Source organism: Homo sapiens, chromosome 2 (assembly GCF_000001405.40).
Source record: "Homo sapiens chromosome 2, GRCh38.p14 Primary Assembly".
Classification (NCBI taxonomy): Eukaryota; Metazoa; Chordata; class Mammalia; order Primates; family Hominidae; genus Homo; species Homo sapiens.
This window is the reverse complement of record NC_000002.12, coordinates 239,188,090-239,201,943: the sequence shown is the minus strand read 5'-3', so window position 1 is coordinate 239,201,943 and position 13,854 is coordinate 239,188,090. Positions and strand designations below refer to the sequence as shown.

General features: G+C 51.8%; 1 protein-coding gene and 1 long non-coding RNA gene across 51 annotated transcripts in view, besides 5 other annotated features; one reads left to right on the top strand and one right to left on the bottom strand.

Moving 5' to 3' along the window:
* The window catches only part of HDAC4 (histone deacetylase 4), a 353,482-nt gene that overhangs the window by 199,706 nt on the left and 139,922 nt on the right, over nt 1-13,854 (top strand). For 46 of the 50 annotated variants that reach the window (XM_047446489.1, XM_047446486.1, XM_047446483.1 and 43 more), the window contains one exon: nt 11,867-12,111. In XM_047446489.1, coding sequence (XP_047302445.1) covers nt 11,867-12,111 — 245 coding nt within the window. Of the gene's footprint in view, nt 1-3,177; nt 8,610-11,866; nt 12,112-13,854 lie in introns of those variants that run through there. The other 4 variants (NR_198957.1, NR_198958.1, NR_026664.2 and 1 more) reach the window with 4 other exon arrangements.
* Nucleotides 52-618: an enhancer, noted in NCBI's record as "H3K27ac-H3K4me1 hESC enhancer chr2:240123022-240123588 (GRCh37/hg19 assembly coordinates)". NCBI's record gives its function as "activates a minimal SCP1, AML or CMV promoter by ChIP-STARR-seq in primed H9 embryonic stem cells {active_cell/tissue: H9 hESC(primed)}" and the evidence as "EXISTENCE:reporter gene assay evidence [ECO:0000049][PMID:30033119]".
* Nucleotides 4,204-8,299, bottom strand: HDAC4-AS2 (HDAC4 antisense RNA 2). The gene is made up of 2 exons (NR_198956.1): nt 7,768-8,299; nt 4,204-7,582 (listed from the first exon to the last, which is right to left on the bottom strand). It is a non-coding gene; the product is annotated as an HDAC4 antisense RNA 2 (long non-coding RNA).
* Nucleotides 5,194-5,694: an enhancer, noted in NCBI's record as "H3K4me1 hESC enhancer chr2:240117946-240118446 (GRCh37/hg19 assembly coordinates)". NCBI's record gives its function as "activates a minimal SCP1, AML or CMV promoter by ChIP-STARR-seq in primed H9 embryonic stem cells {active_cell/tissue: H9 hESC(primed)}" and the evidence as "EXISTENCE:reporter gene assay evidence [ECO:0000049][PMID:30033119]".
* Nucleotides 10,522-11,120: an enhancer, noted in NCBI's record as "H3K27ac-H3K4me1 hESC enhancer chr2:240112520-240113118 (GRCh37/hg19 assembly coordinates)". NCBI's record gives its function as "activates a minimal SCP1, AML or CMV promoter by ChIP-STARR-seq in primed H9 embryonic stem cells {active_cell/tissue: H9 hESC(primed)}" and the evidence as "EXISTENCE:reporter gene assay evidence [ECO:0000049][PMID:30033119]".
* Nucleotides 11,450-11,966: an enhancer, noted in NCBI's record as "H3K27ac-H3K4me1 hESC enhancer chr2:240111674-240112190 (GRCh37/hg19 assembly coordinates)". NCBI's record gives its function as "activates a minimal SCP1, AML or CMV promoter by ChIP-STARR-seq in primed H9 embryonic stem cells {active_cell/tissue: H9 hESC(primed)}" and the evidence as "EXISTENCE:reporter gene assay evidence [ECO:0000049][PMID:30033119]".
* Nucleotides 11,967-12,484: an enhancer, noted in NCBI's record as "H3K27ac-H3K4me1 hESC enhancer chr2:240111156-240111673 (GRCh37/hg19 assembly coordinates)". NCBI's record gives its function as "activates a minimal SCP1, AML or CMV promoter by ChIP-STARR-seq in naive H9 embryonic stem cells {active_cell/tissue: H9 hESC(naive)}" and the evidence as "EXISTENCE:reporter gene assay evidence [ECO:0000049][PMID:30033119]".

The following is a 13,854-nucleotide window of genomic DNA, read 5'->3' as shown; positions in this document are numbered from 1 at the left end:
CATGCATCTACTTAGACTTTTTTTCTGCCAGTAAGAAAGCAGTTTGAAAACGTAGATTTGGAAGGTGCTTTGAGTTTGGTGCAAGTGAAAGCCGATTTACATAAAAACAAAAACAAAAAGACAGTGGAGTAAAATGCACACCTGGTATTAATTGTAGCTTTTTATTTTTAGCAGTGAAAATACTGTTTCAGGAATGTGTCGTTTCCATCTCTGTGCTCAGCAGGCTGGGCTTGGCCGGGCTTCCCCTCTCGTCACCTGTTTTTCTGGTGCTGTTGAGAAGGGAGGTGGGGCCTGGCTGTGCCTCTGGGGCTGTTGTCTCGGCCTTGAGCAGCTTTGTGGGAGCAGATCTAGGTTGCTGCCACAGCCCCAGGAGCTTTTTAGGAAAAAGTGACTTTATTCACGGAGAGCTGTGGGCTGTAGGCTCTCAGCAAATAGTAATTACAGGGGGGCCTGGCCTTTGGTCAGGAATGAAACCAAAGCCCAAGCCACACAGAGCAGGCCGAGGGGTCGGGCAGGCCCCCAGTGCTGGCTTTGGAAGACCATCGACTCCGGAGCAGAAGTTCTGAGGCCTCAGGGATGCTTGGGTCTCTACGGCAGGTTAGGACCCAGGCCCTCTCATTGCTCCCAAATCCCTGTGTTGCTGACCACACCCAGCCTGAGGCACCCCCCTGGGTGACCTGTGAGCTCCCCATAACACTCCTTCAGCCCCTGATGTTTCCAGCAAGACCAGCCTCCTCTCACTGTTCAGCCAGGTTAGGATGCCAGGGTTCTGGTTTGCTGTGCACTAGTGTGTGGCCCTGGGCAAGTCACTTAAAACTGTCTGTACATCAGTTTCCCACACCTGTCAAGCGGGGTGTCCCTTAAATGAATTAATACATCAGCACTAAAGGCCGTGGGCCAGAGTTCACCCCAGGCCCTGTGATTCCCCGGTAGTGAAGAGGACAAGGAGGCAGGGGAAGTTTCCTGTGTGGGCCCTCTCCCACCTCCTGCTCGAGCGAGCAGTCTCCTCTGCTGCAGTTCTCAGGGAGCCTGAAGAGCTCCACCTCCCTTCTTTTCTAGAAGGCTAAAGCGCAGTGCCATCCAGGCCTGGCCATGTGCTGCAGCTGCCTTCATGCTAGAACTCTGCACCGAGAACGCCACTCCGAGCACGGCGTCGAATGCAATCTGCCTGTGACGCGTCTCTCTCCCGCCCAGCCCCACACAGAGAAAGCCTCCCCTGTGCACATCCATAAATACCACTGTATCTTCTCTTTGCATTTATTTCTTTACATTTTGATTTCAATGGAAAGCAATACAAAGCACCTTCTTCTTGCACCATAATATTTTTTATTCTTATTTTTCAAGCATAATTTAACTTACAGTGATTGTTAACATAAGCTTTTGTCTTTGGCATTGCATATATCCATCTAAATGAGAGAAACAGAAGTGGCATATAAAAACTCACCTACATACGAAGCTCCAAGGTAGGGCCACTTAAGTTACATGTTATCTACAGAATATTTTTATATCTTTACCTTAAAGAATACTTCTACTTTCTCTACCTCGTCTCTACTTTGCGTGCGTGCCCCTCCCCACCATGGTAAATACAACAGTTGCAATTCAGTTAAGAACACTGGGGGAAAATGACATCACATGTAAGTCAGCGTTTGGAATGGGTCTCAGTTATGACCGTTCAGGCGTTTGAATGTCAGCTTCAGCGCGAGGTGCTCTCCATAGCTCTGAGGAGGGATGGCAGGTCAAACACGCATGTCCGTCCCTCAGGAAATTCACAAAAACGCCAGTAAAGATCGATAGTTCGTAAGTCCCAACCCAATAACAGCGCTTACCCCAGTCTCCAGACTGTGGTCTCTAAGACTATTTCCCAAGAAAGGGACCCACACAGGGGTCAAGAAATGTACAGGAAGAGGGCTGGGCGCGGTGGCTCACGCCTGTAATCCCAGCACTTTGGGAGGCCGAGGCAGATGGATCATGAGGTCAGGAGATCGAGACCATCCTGGCCAACACGGTGAAACCCCGCCTCTACTGAAAAAATCAAAAAAATTAGCCGGGTGTGGTGGCTGGCGTCTGTAGTAGTCCCAGCTACTCGGAAGGCTGAGGCAGGAGAATGGCGTGAGCCCGGGAGGCGGAGCTTGCAGTGAGCCAAGATCGTGCCACTGCACTCCAGCCTGGGTGACAGAGCGAGACTCCATCTCAAAAAAAAAAAAAAAGAAATGTACAGGAAGACCCCAAAGCATCTGGTAGCAGAACAGGGCGCTGCTCTCAGAGAGCACTCACAGGGTCTGGAGGGCCGCCCGATCCAACCACGGGGCTCCTGCTCGTCAAGGACAGGACTGTGAGCATTCGTAAACAGTGACCGGAAAACACACCCTCCTCACTGCTCGAGTTTGGAGGCTGCCACGAGACCCACTCAGGATTTTCAGACATGGGCAAACCGAGGAAGAGAATCAAGCATGACACTGCCTTTCTCATAAGCGCTGTTTGTGAGAGTAACAAGATAGTTGATCTTGGATTCCTTCCCGTTATAGAAATGGTCCTGCTAACACATGGAGAGGGGCTGATGGGACTCGAAGAGCTCTGTTTTTAACCCTGATGAGAGAATCTAGTCAGTGATCATTTTGAGCCTTCGCAACACAAAAAAGCCACCCAGAGAGCAGGGGTTCGCCTTAGGCCTTGCTGGGAAGTCTAAGCTGCCTCTGACCAGGCCTCTCGGTGAGCACCCAGCTTTCAGAAGAACGGGGGACAGAGCCTTGCTCGTCAGCACCAGGGTGTAATCAGCAAAGTGCAGATGACCCGATGTCTTCAGCTAATAAATTATCGGGGTGGGGGTGGTGGGGGGCAGGAAGCAGGAGGTCAGGGGAAGGGGTCTTAAAAGATACATCAGCTAATTACAATGTATTTGGATCGTGATTTGAACAAAATATTTAAAAGTGTTTATGAAACTATGGGGACACTTTCTGGCTACTTCATAATATTACAGACTTGTCCATTTATTTGCGTGTGTTGATGGCATTTGATTTGGAAGTCTTCGCAGTGACGACTGGGGCCTGCTTCCCTGTCATCTAGAAGGTGGGGAAGTGGTGGATGAGCAGAGGACCTGAGATCGGCTTGATTACACTATTCTTCATGCTTTTGTGTATTTTTGGAATTTCTCATGAAAGATAAAAATATATATTCCAGAGAAAGGTCATAAGCTCACAAAGATGGGGAGAACAGAAGAGGGGCGACACGAATGAGAGCCTGGCAACTGACAGCAGGTGACAGAGTCACAGCGATTCAGCAGACCCAAAAAACAGATCTCAGCCAACCACGAGGAGCACTGAGAACTCACCAGATGGAAGCTGCGCTGCCACAAAGGGGTGCTCTCCAGCGACTATGATCCTGAGCGCCTCTGCATGGGGACAGGAGCAAGCTGAGGATGTGGGTACTGCAGCAAGAACGGGGGGCTAGTCACTGTGTCCACAGCAAACACTGAGTAGGGGGTCCCTCCCTTGGTACACTGAAGGCCCAGCTCTCACCCTCTAGTCCCAGGATGGAGAGGCGCCTCTCGTGGACAGTAGGCCAGCCCTAGGGGAAGGTTCTCTGGGCACTGAGCCAGGGGGTTCCTGATGATGCCACCTCCAGTCACCCTCCATGAAGCCTGGCATTGAGAACCAGACTGTGCCCACAGTTGGCAGGTGGTTTTCGTGCCTCCACTCACACTCGGCAACACATAACCAGGGGCAACCAGGCACCTGAGGGGAGGCTTTTGCAGGGACGGTGGAGAGCAAACAGAGACTCCACAGGGAAAAGAAAACTTGTCACCAGGCTTGGTGGCTCAGGCCTGTAATCCCAGCACTTTGGGAGGCCACAGCGAGAGGATCACCTGAGGTCAGGAGTTTGAGACCAGCCTGGCCAACATGGAAGGAAGGGAGGAAGGGAGAGAAATTAGCTGGGCATGGTGGTGCACACCTGTAATCCCAGCTACTCGGGAGGCAAGGCATGAGAATCATTTGAATCCGGGAGGTGGAGGTTGTATTGAGCCAAGATCGCACCACTGCAGTCCAGCCTGGGTGACACTCAGCACACACACACACACACACACACACACACACACACAAACTTTTAGTGAGCTATCATTACTATCTTCAGAGACTAGACAAGATATTTTATCTAGGAAATATGAACAGGATGACATTTTAAAAAAAGAATATCCAGGGTCCATTGTCCTCTGAAAATGGCTGTTTTATTTGTCAGTTAGAAACAAAATAGCAAAAATCATGAAACCTCATTTAAAAGGTTAGAATATACATTTAAGGAAATCACACATGAAGAAGCGTGTAAGACAAAGACAAGGAAAACAGGGAGGATGGAAAAGACCCAGTATTGTTCTGGGAGATCTCCTACTCAAGGGGTAGAAGTTCCAGAAGGAGAGAATGGGAAAGGGGAACCCTTGATGAAGTGCTTCAGGGAGCCCCCTACGATGGGAGCACGGGAGCTGCCGTCTCCAAAGGACCAGCCAGGCGCCCAGCAGTGGGTGTGAAAGGTCTTCACCAAACCACACGGCTTCGAAATTTCGGAACGCTGGGGGCCTGGAGAAGACCTTATAGATACCCGGAGAGAGACATCGAGTCACACTCAAGGTGCAGCATCACGTGGCGCCCATTTTCCTGACAGTACTGGGAGAGGAAGACAACAGAGTTGCGCCTTCAGAATCCCGAAGGCGAAGGATGGTCTTCAAGCTGGAATTCTATACCCAGCCAAAGTCAGGACGCGTGAAGGGGAGAATCGACACGTTTTCAGATGTGCAGAACTTACTCTCATGCCTCCCTTTTTAAGACACAGCTGGAGCCTGAGTTCTGCAGAGTGAGAAAATAAACCAAGGAAGACGATGGCTGGGACAAAGGAAGCGGGAGACTTAAGGTAGGGCAGAGACAGAGGGAATCCCCTGGAGGAGTTGGACCCGTCCAGGCCAGCAGCAGTGCAGACAGAGGGAGCGCCTGCCCGGGGTGAGTGGCACAGCTTCGGAGGCAGCGTCTGGGCCGGCCTCACCAGACTGCCTGCCTCGCTGCCTAAACCTGAGGATGCAACACTCAGCCGCTTGTCTGTGCCTGACCTCTGTTGACCACATGGCCCCACTCTCTCTTCCTTGCCCCACTGCCTCGATTCCCCGAGGTCACTCATTTCTCCAAGGGGGTCTTCTGCCCAGTTCCCACCTGAGAGCTGGAGGTGGCCACCATGGAGGGCAGCTCACCCCCCAGACCACACCTTCTGGCACCTGGTTCTGGTCCACATGACTGCCCTGCCAGATGTTAGACGGGGTGTACTTGGTTTCCTGGGGGTCACCCGTGGCTTCACCCCAGAAGAAGCTCTGGTCCCCTGTCCCAGAAGCTGACGGCAGACTCGGACTCGAGACTGTCCTGTCCCGGGAACCATCGTCAACTCCTCCTTCCACTGCACTGGTGTTGCTGCCTTCAGTCTTCAGAAAGCAAAGGACGTGTTTTCAGGGCCACATATATGCAGATGTTATTATCATAGCAAAGCAAGAGGACACTTAACAAGGTCAGGATGTTGCTCACGGGGTAGGGGGTGCATGTGGTTTGAAGGGACGCAGAGGGTGACGTTTGGGCCTCATTGAAGCGGAGGATGCACTGGTGCTGGTTTCATTACTGTTCTTTTACTAAACATACTTGTTCTTCAGCATGGATGGCACACTGCACAATAAATAAAGGGTGAAGGACATTGTAGCTAAGTCATGCATTTCTGATGTGCTGTCTCCCTCCTCTTCTGTCCCATCCTCTCTCTTCCCCCCACCCCCACATAGAGGCAAAATATCAGTGTAAGAGGAAATCATGGTTACATAGTTGAAATATCTATTATTTTTCCCTTGATTTGAATGAGTCATTCTTTACTTGAAGAGACCCTAAACATTGACTGTGTTACCTAAAGAATAGTGCCTCTTTTTCTTCCATATCTGTATGATGGCATGAAATCGCGTCCTGAGAAGAGGACCTAAGCATGTCGTGGAAAATCAGTATGCTTCTTTATGAACATTTATTTTAAAAGAGCGAGAGAGAGAGACTAACAGGTTTTTCTGTTTGTGATTGAGAATTCATTCACAGCACACTGACCGTCTCCCATTGGACTCTGAATGCGGCCTTTGTGCTCTCACTGACGTCAGGAGTCTGATTGTCTTAATATGTTTCTCAAGGCACAACCTATAAAAGCCGTTTTCTGCTGTACCGTAGAATATTCATGAGAATACAGACTTTTTTGTTTTGATGCTGCATTCTTTAAGGAGAGAAGGTTTTATTGTTTTCTTCAGGGTGCTTTGGGTCAAAAGCACTAGCAGCTTCTGTTGGGAACTCGTGGCATTTTGAATGGTTTTTGATACAGAAATAGCACAAGTCACGTCTGACACAGCCGTAGGCGCACGAATGCGTGAATGCGATTGTGGTTCTCATCTCTGCAGCTGGTGTGTGGGGCCGGGCCTGGGACAGCTTGGGCCTCATCCCCACCCACCCGGCTCCCAGGATCCTCATTAGGAAGCCCTCAGGAGCCCTGGGGTGGGTCTCCTTGCCCTGTGAACGCTCCATTTGTGTTATTGAATCCAACATAAATGCAGCATTGTCTTCAGAGGTGAGCAATGGCCGTGGCCGGAGGTGCGCATGGGATGCAGGCGGCGTGTGCTGCTGTTGATTTTCTCTGCTCTGCTCTTAGCTTACTTTAGCAGATAGTGGAGTTTCACGTGGCAGTCCGGTAAACCAAGGCAGTGTGAACATCCCTTCCCCACAATGAGTGAAAATGCAGGAGGTGCCGTAGTGAGAACAGCGACAGCATTCTGCGCATTGGTGAGCCCGACTCCCCAGCCTCGGTGCCCACCGAAGCCCCCTCTGGCTGCACTGTGCCAGTGAGTCCAGGCTCCTTCTCAGCAGAAGGTGGCTGCTCTGCAGGGCCCCTCGCCTCCCTGCTCCTCAGGGGACCCGCACTCTTCCATGTCCGTAGGGAGACGCGCACCGAGCTGGAGACACAGATCTGCGAGGAGTAACTTGCCTCTCTCACCAGCACTGCCAGGGGCGGATCAGCGCCAGCACCTTCCAGCATGCGCTAAACTGCTGGAGAAGCTGGAGTGGCTGGAAGGAGCCCTGCCTGCCTGCCCTCCTCCTCCTCAGTTGCTGGCCTTGGCAGCTCTAGGGTGACCCAGCAGGGGCCTGGAGGAGTAGGAAGCAGCTTCCCAGCTGCAGTCTGCATCATCCTCTCTGTGCTGTCACAGAATGGAAGGTTTTAGCAGAAAAAGGAGTTTGTAAGCGACATTCAGAAGATTTGGGCAGCAGTTTCTTCCCCCATAGGGTCCTGTCTTTTGGGAGTGGGGAGTGCTGGGCCAGGCTGCTCGCTGGCTGTTTCACAGGTGGTGGAATTTAAGAGCAGACTTGGGTCGAGCTGTGACCGTTCAGGTGATGCACGCACAGGAGGTTCAGCTGTGTGCCTGTGAGGCGGGCAGGAGCGTCACCCAAGCTTCAGAAGAGAATTCCCCGGCAGCAGCGTGGCGCTCAGCATGTTCCGTGTCTGACTGTTTTGATTGTCTCTCAGTCCAGTTGACAAATTCCTTTTAAGATGAAATTTGAATTAATTTGCAGAACTTGTACAAATCTCCAAGAAAACAGCTTAAGGAACAGATTAAAGAATGAATGCCTTAGGAATTAAAGCATTAATAGCTCTTGAGTAGACTGGATGGAAAGATGAGTTGTGTAGGTTATCCAGATGAGGCTACATCCAGGGAGCAATTCTTACCTTCAGAGGGCGCTGCCTGTCCTCCTTGGCATCCAAGTGAGCGCATCTCCTCCACGCTCAATGATGAATGCTGGCCGGCATCCCTGTGAGGAACCTTGTGATCATTTTCCATTTCTGAAAACTCCCAGGTGGTGGGGGCCCTTGGCCCACATCAGCATTGACCACCCCGGGCTCAGATCTGGCCAGGTGCCTGCGTTGTGATGGGAATTTCAGTACACTGAATTTTGCCTCTGACCCTGATGAAATAGCTTCGGTGGCATTTGCATCAAGATCATGTTAGTGTCATCTCTATTAGATGCTTTGGAGCAAACATGAACTTGGGTTTCCTTTTAAGATGTCCTGTGATTCCAGATTCAGGGGAATCTGAGAAAAGTTTGAAGAAAGAAAATTCCACTCGGCCAGCCAACCTTGGGTGTGCAGAGCCTGCCCCGCCTTCCCCACTTTGTCCTGAGAAGCTGGGTCCTCCCCAGCACCAGAGTTGCTGCTGCTTCCCCTCGCGCTCTTGGCTGCTCTCCCGGCCCCAAGCCTGAGTGACACTCTAGGATTGCAGATGGCAGGCTGGTCTCTGGGCTCCCCCGTCCCCATGACCCTCCACCTGCACCCAGACCTCTGGGTCCTTGCTCAGGCAGCCCCTGCCCTCGGTGAGACGCAGCCCACTGTGGGCCCTTCCCCTGGGCCTGCCATCAGCTCCTGTGCTCCTCGGCGCCCCAGCGGCTGCCCTGGGCCCGTTCCCACAGCACCTGGCACACAGCAGGAGCCATGAATGTTCTTTGGGAACTGAATGAGGAGTGGAAATGCGGGCATGTCATGTTTTTGAAGTTAATAAAAAAAATCCCTTAAAAGTTGTTTTATGTTCGGTTTTTAAAGAGATTAACACCAGACGTTTACAATGCTGCCCCCTCCCTCCATCTGTGAGAAATTAGAAATGGAGGGGGATGCGCTAAAGCCAGCAGCGGGTCAGGCCTCTGCCCAGCGCCTGTGGTGGGACCCTGTTTCTACATGGGACCTTGGGTGACAGCAGCACATCTTATAAGCAGGGGTCCCACCCAGGCCCCCCACACAGGGATAAATGAGGCGAGACGTAGGCAATAACCCAGCTTCCAAGATGCAACGCTGTGCAGTTACTTATTCCCTGTGCTTATTTGTTCAAGCTAAAATGTCTCTGTTTGACCAAACAGAAAGAATATGAGAGAGACCAGTTTCACCTACAAATATAGACACCAGCATTCTAAATAACATGGTCGTTGTTGATGCTATTTTGTTTTTCTAACTTTATCCCTTCCTGGAGATAAATGCAACTTTGTTCTTCTACATTATACAAGTGTATGCCTTCCCCGATGGGTTCACCCATGGGTGCTGACTGTGTAACTTAGAAGAACAAAGTTGTGTTTATCCCTGGAAAGCACGGGCCCGCTCACCTGAGGCACTCTAGGAAGTCACTGCAGGGCACTGGTCCCAGGAGAACCGCGTGCCAATCACAGCCATGAACGCGGAAGAGGGAACCGCAACCTGACAGTCATTCACGAGACTGTGTGTTCAGGAAAGCATTTAGCACCGCCGTGCTTGTGAGAGCCGGACCCGTAGCCCCCAGTGCCCACAGCAGGGAGCCCGCCAGCTGAGTCTTCTTCAAGAAGCCAGGCCCCGTTCTCTTTTCTCCGAGTTTGCGAGTTTGCTGACTTAGCTCTCCTCCCTGCCTTTCATATATTTTATTCCTTAAAAGAAAGTCTGAAGCAAATGTAGGTGAACGCTGATGTTTCATAAAACCAGCATTGCTTACGCAGTTTTTCCATTTTGCTATATTTTGTCATAAAAATGATCAGAAAAGGGAAGAAAGGAAATGAATAGGGTCCAGTCCTCACCCACATATGGGGTGGGGGAGTGGGTGGACCCCTGCTTTCTGCTCCTGCACATGGAACAGTCCTCACCTATGTGTGGGGTGGGGGGTGGGTGGACCCCTGCTTTCTGCTCCTGCACATGGAACAGTCCTCACCCATGTGCGGGGTGGGGGGTGGGCGGACCCCTACTCCCTGCTTCCGCACATTGAACACGCAGTTTATGTGCGTAGATTCTTCTCACATAATAGCAAATGAAAACCTTTTACTGTGTCAAAGTCGACACCCAATTAAAAACTAAATACATGCATTTTAAAAGTTGGGGGTTGCACTTCACTGATTTGGGGAAAGAAACAGAAACAGTCAGAGAGGAGGATTTCATTTAAAAAACAACAATAACAACGAGGCAGCCCGTGCTGCGCTGTGGAATGTGATCAGATATATTCAGAAGCTTCTGTCACCTTCTGGGTTGCTTTGTGTCTTTTCACTGTCCAGGAAAGTGGCCTGAGCTGGTCTTCGTGGCCTGAGGCCTGGGCACTCCTCAGGTTCAAGCCAGTCCAGCCAGGGCAGCCAGCAGGGCCAGGTTAGGAGCATGATTGACTGCGGTGGGGCAGGGGAGGGGTGAGGAGACAGTGAAGTCAGCCAGAGAAGCTGAGAGCACCCCTCACCCTGGGCACCAGGAGCTCAGGTGACTGCAGCTCCCACGGCTAAGCGGCAACCCAGGGATCAGAACCCCAAGCTCCGGCCAGTGCCCAGGCCTCCCCCAAAGCATTTCCCACCCTTTTCTCAGGAGAAGGCTGAGTCCTGGGACCAGGACCTCCAGTGGTTTGGAGACAAAGCCAGTGTGGGACCTGCTGCCTGGGCAGTGACTGTGGAAATGCTTTGCACCCAGGGGCAGCTGCCACCTATGGGCTGTTTCACCCAAATCGGTGGCTTTGAGACTGTGGAGTGCAGGTTTTCCTAGGAACTGAGTTGCTGACAAGGCCTGGTCTTAAGCCAGTCCAGAGACGGGCTGAGTGTCAGGGTGAACGTGGGTGGGCTGCTCTCAGGGATGCACCTGGACAAGGTCACGCCCAAAGGTGCTGACCCTGAGGGGCGAGGAGCTGTTTTCTCAGCAGCCCTCTTGTTGGCCCAGACACCCCTCTGAGCTTGAGACCCTCCTAGAGGGCAAGGCCCCACCTCCCCACTTGGCCCAGGTCACATGAGTGTTGGTTATGGGGAGCTTTCTGAGGGGTGGGCCTGTGGGAGGGGAGCAGGCAGGCTGGGCTCTCACTTGGACTCTCAGTGAAGTTTTCGGCAGAGTCGCGTGTCTGAGAAGTGACGCTGGGATGTCCCTGGGCTGTGCCAGGAGCAGTGCTGGCTCAGAGTGAGTGCCTGCACACACTGCATGCTTTCAGAATAGGGACCTGCCGTAAAAGGGGTGCGCAGGTCGGGCTGTTTGTGATATCTGTAATTTAAACCTACCCTTCTTCCTGTGTTACTTTTCTCACTTTCATTTGGTATTGATTGTAAGGAATGAAATTGATTCAGCTTCTGTTCCTCATCAAAATTACTTGTAGCCTTTTCTCAATAGCACATTAGTACAGGGCAGAAAATCCATTTCTTCGCGAGGTGCAGAAACGCATGCCCAGAGGAACGCACTTGTGCCAAGAGCCAGGAGCACGTCTCGTTGGCTGTGTCTGGTAAACATGTTTTCCAAGGGGGCGCTTGTCTCACCATGGAAACGGGCTCCGGGTCTCGAGCGTCTGTCTGGACCACTTCTGGGGCACACGCTCTTGTGGCTCTCACAGCGGCACGGTGACTTCGATGGAAGAGGAGGAAGAGGAGCAGGACAGGCAGTCTTCCTGGCTGAGACCTGGCGCCCGCGCTTTTCCTTGAACAGCCACAACCTTTTTCTTTATTTTTCTCATTATTGGCCTCTAGAAATGACGTCAGCAAGGCCTCTGGGCCTGTAGCGGGGTCCTCTGAGAGCCGGCCTCCCGGGGAGGGTGGAGGAAGGAACAGGGATTGTGGAGTGCGTCCTGGCCTGACCTCCCATGGGCTTTTGTGGTTTTTGCCCTTGAGGAATGGGCCCCAGAGGCCTCTGAGTCTTGCATTTTGAGTTTGTTGGGCAAGAGGGGGACAGGGGGAGAGGGGTATCCAATCCTCAAATGGTCACAACCCCCCCCCCGCCCCGTGAAGGTGGCCAGTGTGTTGGGTGGGGGCTCTGGGGCCCAGGGACAGCAAAGGGCGGCAGTGACCGGCTCTCCTGCTTGTTTTTCCCACAGTGGATGTGGCCACGGCGCTGCCTCTGCAAGTGGCCCCCTCGGCAGTGCCCATGGACCTGCGCCTGGACCACCAGTTCTCACTGCCTGTGGCAGAGCCGGCCCTGCGGGAGCAGCAGCTGCAGCAGGAGCTCCTGGCGCTCAAGCAGAAGCAGCAGATCCAGAGGCAGATCCTCATCGCTGAGTTCCAGAGGCAGCACGAGCAGCTCTCCCGGCAGCACGAGGCGCAGCTCCACGAGCACATCAAGGTGAGGCGCGGTGCGGGGCTGCGGGTGGGCCAGGCCTCCGGCACCCTCAACTCCCGGTGACTCCAGCCCTGCCTCCGCGGAGTGTGCTGGGGCCCCAGGCATGATGCAGGGTTCCTGCAGGAGGCCTTCTGCGTTGGGACGGTAACACCAGGCAACAAACCGCGGGCAGCACTTGCGTGTATTGTGGAGGACGTGGTGCTGAGTGGGAACGGCGGTCCAAAGTCATTGAGTGGAAGCATATTCCAAATAGGAAAAATGCTTATCGCCTAATTTCATCCGAAACATGCTCAGAAATAGAAAAGCTACCAAAGGGAAGAAGCACCAGAACCTTAATGATCGTTGCTGGGAGGTGTATTGACAAATCTGTGTTTTCTTTTCCTTAGGACTTTTCTATATTTTCTATTTTCTCTACTAACCTTTTATAATTAGAAAAAGATAATATTTTCTTTTAATTTAAATGCGGTAAGAAAAAAAAGACTTTTTTTGGTACTTACTGTCTACAAATATTTAATCTGATACCAGATTTTAAAATTAAATCAATTGGAAATATGTACTAGTGATATGTAGCAAAGTTATATAGTTGGCAGGCTAGTTATGATATCTGTGATTATAATATGCTGTCACTGCATTTAGAACCATTTAGAGCAACACCGTCTAATAGAAATATACATGAGTATATTAAAATTCCACCAGTAATTTTAAATATTCTAGTGGTCACAGTAAACAAAGTGAAAAATCCCACAAAACCAGACTAAGTTATCTATATCTGTGTAACAAAATTACCCCAACACTTAGCAGTTTAAAATAGCAAGTTTGTATTGTCTTGCTCTGTGGGTCAGGAATCCTGGAGCAGCTTCGCTGATGGGGTCTCCCATTATGTTGTTATTAAGATGTCAGGCAGGGCTGTGGTCTCATCTGCAGGGTTGACTGGACTGAGGCGGGAGGAGCTCCATTCAGGCTCACTCACATGGCCGCAGGCAGGAGGCCTGAGGTCCTCATCCACAGGGCTGCTCACAGCATAGCAGCCAGCTTCCCAGAGGGAGCAACCCGAGAGGAAGCATGGCCAACATGGAAGCCACAGGGTCTCTCGTGCCCTGATCTGGGAAGTGGCAGGCCGCCACCAACACTGCTGCTGTTGTTGTTCATGCTAAGTCTTGGCAAGCCACTGGGTCGCACGTAGGGCATGTCTCCATTCAGGCCAGCCGCATTTCGAGCCACACGTGGTTCGTGGCAACTGTTGGACAGCACAGATGTAGGGCATCAAAAGCCTATGACCGTATGCAACCTGGTGCTTCTGAGATGCTCACGTGGTCCATGGGTAGAAGTTGTTCACCTGAGGTCTTGGCTACCTGGCATTAGCCCACACACAGATATTAGTGTGCCCACCTAGTGTGCAGAGTAGCTTAGGGGTGCATCCCTCTGTTTCTGCCCTAGCTGATAATTCTCTTGACCACAGGATCCCAGTTTCCCTTCCTTTATATGTAAGACACTTTGTTCAGTGTCTTTATTTCATAATCACTGTCGAGAAATGGAGGTAAAGTAGTATCAGTTGTCTGTAGACTTAGTGGCAGATTGTGGGGGAGGCTGCATCCCAAAGCTGGGCTGGCCCTGGAGGACAGGCTCAGGGACAGCTCCATGTCCCCTCTCATGGGTGCCAAACCATTCTGTGAGTGCCTGTGCTTCAAAGGTGAGCCCGGAGAGCTCTGTACTCGGCCCCCTCTGGCCTTGAGGGAACGGGGGCTG